The sequence below is a fragment of the Homo sapiens genome, chromosome 20 (genome assembly GCF_000001405.40).
Source record: "Homo sapiens chromosome 20, GRCh38.p14 Primary Assembly".
NCBI classification, from domain to species: Eukaryota; Metazoa; Chordata; class Mammalia; order Primates; family Hominidae; genus Homo; species Homo sapiens.
In genome coordinates, this window is record NC_000020.11 from 45,319,739 (window position 1) to 45,325,287 (window position 5,549).

Sequence of the window (5,549 nt, forward strand, 5' to 3'; positions counted from 1 at the left end):
TCCACCCGAGCATTAAGTTCTCATTTTATTTATATTTAAAAACCGGGCCTTAATCCCAGCCCTTTGGTAGGCCGAGGCGCAAGGATCACTTAAGCCCAGGAGTTCGAGACCACCCTGGGCAACATAACAAGACCCCCTCCCCCATCTCTACAAAAAAATGTAAAAATAGGGCCGGGCGCAGTGGCTCACGCCTGTAATCCCAGCACTTTGGGAGGCCGAGGCGGGCGGATCACGAGGTCAGGAGATAAGAGACCAACCTGGCTAACCCGGTGAAACCCCGTCTCTACCAAAAAATACAAAAAATTAGCCAGGCGTGGTGGCGGGCGACTGTAGTCCCAGCTACTTGGGAGGCTGAGGCAGGAGAATGGCGTGAACCCGGGAGGCGGAGCTTGCAGTGAGCCGAGATCGTGCCACTGCACTCCAGCCTGGGGGACAGAGTGAGACTCCGTCTCAAAAAAATAAAAAAATAATAATAATAATTAGCCGGTGTGGTGGTGCACGCCTGTAGTCCCAGCTATGGGGTGGGGGCGGGGGGATGCTGAGGAGGGAGGATCACTGGAGCACAGGTAGTGGAAGCTGCAGTGAGCTGTGATTGTGCCACTACACTCCAGCCTGGGTGACAGAGGGAGACCCTTTGGGGGTTTATGCACAGAATTCTACATACTTCCAGGGAATTTCCTAACACTAAAACCCATTTATGGATTAATTTAGTCCTCTTTATATTAGAATCATTTGCCACGCTATAAAAATTAATATACCGGGCCGGGCGCAGTGGCTCACGCCTGTAATCCCAGCACTTTGGGAGGTCGAGGTGGGTGGATCACCTGAGGTCAGGAGTTTGAGACCAGCCTGGCCAACATGGTGAAACCCTGTCTCTACTAAAAATTCAAAACATTAGCCAGGCGTGGTGGCGTGTGCCTGTAATCCCAGCTACTCAGGAGGCTGAGGCAGGAGAATTGCTTGAACCCAGGAGGCAGAGGCTGCAGCGAACTGAGATCACGCCACTGCACTCCAGCCTAGGGTCTCTCCAGCAGAGTGAAACTCCGTCTCAAAAAAAAAAATAATACTAATAATATACCGGCCACGCCATGGAACAATTCTATTAACATCTCTGAGTGTGGAGCTCAGGCATCTGTATTGTTTGAAACCCTCCCATGTGAATCTAGTGAGCAGCCAGGGTTAAGAATCATGGCCCTAGTCAGTATTTCCTCCTCATTTTATAGATGGGGAAACTGAGGCTCCAAGAGAGGAGGCTAAGGTCACAGCAGATGGCAAAGCCTACAATTGATTCAAATCCTGCACTCCTACCACTAAATCTGGGGCTCTGAGTTTCTCTTCATTCTCATTCTACCACGCTGCTGTGTGTAGGTGACATGTGTGTTGCAGAGGGTGGGGATGGGGCATGTAGTGAGGATAAGGCCCAAATCTCCAATTTACCAGCTCTCATGCTGCCTGGTGTTCCACCATTATTAACAAGCTAGTTCCCCAGTAAGTACCGACCTTGGGGTTTCTCTCTCTTTCTTTCTTTCTTTTTTTTTTTTAACTTCTATTAAGTTATAACCACAGCATAGGTAAAATTCTCTGACAGCTTCCCCCTGGGTAGGGCACAGACCTGTGAAGATGGCAAGGGAAAGAGGAAGTGGTTTTAAGGGAAGTGAAACCCATAATACATCTATAAGGTTGTGGCCAGGCATGGTGGCTCACACTTGTAATCCTAGCACTTTGGGAGGCCGAGCCAGGCAGATCACTTCAGATCACTTGAGGTCAGGAGTTCCAGACCAGCCTGGCCAACATGGTAAAACCCCGTCTCTACTAAAAATACAAAAATAGGCTGGGCACGGTGGCTCACACCTGTAATCCCAGCTACTTGGGAGACTGGGACAGAAGAATCGCTTGAACCCAGGAGGCGAAAGTTGCAGTGAGCTGAGATCACGCCACTGCACTCCAGCTTGGGTGACAACAAGACTCTGTCTCAAAAAATAAAAAATACAAAATGTAGCCAGACGTGGTGGCGTGCACCTGTAGTCCCAGCTACTTGGGTGGCTGAGGCACAAGAATCGCTTGCACCTAGGAGGCAGAGGTTGCAGTGAGCCGAGATTGTGCCACTGCACTCCAGCCTGGGCAACAGAGCGAGACTGTCTAAAAAAAGAAAAACAAACAAACAAAACCATCTATAAGGTTTTGCCACAGACCAGCTCAGAACAGCCTCCTAGACAGGCTTGGCCCTGTTCCAGACCCTAAGGGACAAAGGCAGGCAGGGTAGCAGTGGCACAATAATGCATTTAGAGGGCAAAGTGATAAACCCCCACTACAGCTGGCTGCTTGCCACCAGATGGGCACTTTCACCTTTGCTATCTAATGTAAACTAATCATAAACCTTGTGGCATCCCATCATATTTACAGGTCCTCAAGGAGAGAGAATTATACAGGTTGTATATATAGGGCAGAAATCTTGCAGGCCATCTTAGAATTCTGTCTACTCCCCAAACAACATAGCAAATCATAAGTAGGGGAGATGTGTTTCACTTGTAGGCCTTCCCACACCCCATGCAGGCATTGTCCCATGGTTTTGCTACCTCTGAAGATTGGCAAGATCATGAACAAAAAGTGGGCCCATGCCTGGCTTCTGTAATGTAGTGGTTATCACATTCGCCTCACACATGAAAGGTCACCAGTTTGAGACCGGGCCAAAACACGAGATTTTCCCCCTAAATTTAGTGAGTTTAATCGAGGTTGGAAACAAACAGAAAACTAGTTAAACCTGTGCCTACATTTTGGCCGGGTGTGGTGGCTCATGCCTGTAATCCCAACACTTTGGGAGGCCGAGGTGGGCGGATCGCATGAGATCAGGAGTTTGAGACCAGCCTGGACAACATGGTGAAACCCTGTCTCTACTAAAAATACAAAAATTAGCCAGGCATTGTGGCACATGCCTGTAATCTCAGCTACTTGGGAGGCTGAGGCAGGAGAATCACTTGAACCTGGGAGGCAGAGATAGCAGTGAGCTGAGATCATACCATGGCACTCCAGCCTGGGCGACAGAGTGAGACTCCACCTCAAAAAATTAAAAAACAAAAAGTGGACCAATAGTGTCCAAAATCCATTTTGCATCCACTGCCCAATTCTCAGAAATATTATATATTATCAGAAATAACCAGAGTTGGCTCTCCAGACAGATAAAGCCCTAGTCGAGGTTGACCACTGATGGGGCTATGTCTGCCAGCATTTAGGATGGCTTCCAATGAGTCTTGTATCCAGGTGCTCCTGCCCCTGGGTGGTCTCCTGTCACAATGAATAGGGCTGACCCATGTGACCCATGCAATATTATGGAAGAGATAGTGGGTGACTTCCAAGCTAAGTCATAAAAGTCACTGTAGCTTCCACTTGGTGGCTCTCTTGGATCGCTTGTTCTGAGAGAAACCAGCTGCCGCATCACGAGGACTGTCAATCAGCTCTATGTGGGTCCACGCAATGAGGAACTGAGGCCTCCTGCCAAAATAGCCAGCACCAAGTTGTCAGAAATGTAACTGAGCCATCTTGGAAGTGGATCCTCCAGCCCAGTCAAGCTTTCAGATGACAGCAAGACCTGGCCAACGTCGACTGCAACCTCACAAGATGGAGCCAGAATCGCCCAGCTAATGCTCCTGACTTCTGACTCACAGAAACAATGTGAGATAATATTTATGTTGTTATAAGCCCCTAAGTTTGGGGGTAATTTTAAATATCAATAGATAATATGGGGGTCTTCTTTTTTTTTTTTTCTTTTTGAGATGGAGTCTCGCTCTGTCGCCCAGGTTGGAGTGCAGTGGCACGATCTCGGCTCACTGCAAGCTCCGCCTCCCCGCTTCACGCCATTCTCCTGCCTCAGCCTCCCGAGTAGCTGGGACTACAGACACCCGCCGCCACGCCCGGCTAATTTTTTTTGTACTTTTAGTAGAGATGGAGTTTCACCGTGTTAGCCAGGATCGTCTCAATCTCCTGGGGGGGTCTTCTTAAACTAATACTTTACCCAAAAAGATGGCACTGATGATGAGAACACCATATATTGAGCACTTATTGTGTGCTAAGCTCTGACTTGCCTCCCTATAGGCTGTTGGATCACAAGGTAACAGCTGGTAAAAGCTGAAACCCAAACCCAGAGGTCCTGACTCAGTCTCACACCATCCAAAGCAGCCCTAACAGGAATTTCTACAACTGGAAATGTTCTGTGTCTGCACCACCTGATACAGTAGCCACTAGCCACATGTGGCTGTTGAGCACTTAAAACAAGGCTAGTGCAACTAAGAAGCAGAATTTTTATTTTTACAATTATAATTAATTTAAATTTATAATATAGCCACAGTTCCCAGTGGCTACCATAGTGGTCAGCACAGATCTAACAGATGTGAGGGCCTTCTACAAGACACAAGTTAGGAGAACAGAGACCCACTCAACCTCATGGGACTCAGAAAAACAGTGTGGCAAAGTCTCAGGAGAGATTTAAGCTGCCACGAGATTTAAGACCAGAATCACTGGTTCAGAGGGGGTTTGCAGGGGCATGAACAGCCCCCAGTGAGGGAGCCTTGGGTGATATAAACCCCTTGATAGGCAGTGCAGTTGTTAGCACTCTAGAGCCCGACTGCCGGGGTTCAAATCTCACCTCTACAACTGGTAAGCTGTGTAGCTTTGAGCAAGGTATTTAACCTCTTAGATGCAGTTTCCCTATCTGTCAAATGGGGTTACTAATAGCACCTACTCTGTGGAGATCTGACAATTAAATGGGATCTGGTATAAAGCCCTAAGAATGGGTTCCTGGCCACATGGTGTGTATGGGAGGGTTTGCTCCAACTACCACCAATTCCTGTTTGCGTCCTTTCCCCAACCCCAGCAAAGTACTGGGCAACATGGTGCCAAAGGAAGATCACCAATGTCCAAGGACCTGAAATTAAGGTTCGACTCTCCAGACACACTAGGGGCAGGTTGCCCTCTTGGTAACAAGGATCTTACCCACCTCACAGGGTTGTTATAGTGGTCAAGAAAGATGGCCCATGCTATTTCCGGAGACTGCCAGCCAGCCTGGCTGCAGCAGTGGCCTGAGTGAAGCAGGCGGAGACAGTGGTGCGGAGAGCCCACATCTAGATGGGTGCCTGCCGCTCAGCAGCTCTCTTGTTGCCATGCAGGCTGACAGTTGCCAATTTTTTTTATTTCTTTTTCCCAAGAAAAGTGAGAAATCTGGATTTTTATGAGAAACCTCCTGATTTCTATGGATGGCAACTGACGCAAAGATTTTTGTGTTTGCTATTTAAACACAGTGCCACCTAAACAAAACCTTGAAGTAGGGGTGATATGCTGCATAGGCCATCAGGGTGCATGTTCTGAAGTCTTCCCTCTTCTCTAGGCCCCTTCCTGCCTTCTTACCTCTCTGCCCCCACCCTCTGCCCACCCCCGGCATGTCTGGCACCCCGTAGGGGATTTGGTCCGGGGAGTTTCTTCATGCTCCACTGAGATCAAGGGGATACAGAGCCCAAAAAGGATGACTTGTTATGAACGAAAATGACAGAGGCAAGCAG

The 5,549-nt window shown here is 48.4% G+C and overlaps 1 pseudogene, besides 1 other annotated feature; it reads left to right on the forward strand.

Moving 5' to 3' along the window:
* Positions 1,543-1,592: an enhancer, noted in NCBI's record as "active region_17946". NCBI's record gives its function as "activates an Ori minimal core promoter by ATAC-STARR-seq in GM12878 lymphoblastoid cells {active_cell/tissue: GM12878}" and the evidence as "EXISTENCE:reporter gene assay evidence [ECO:0000049][PMID:35858748]".
* On the forward strand, positions 2,623-2,695 carry TRV-CAC14-1 (tRNA-Val (anticodon CAC) 14-1; annotated as a pseudogene).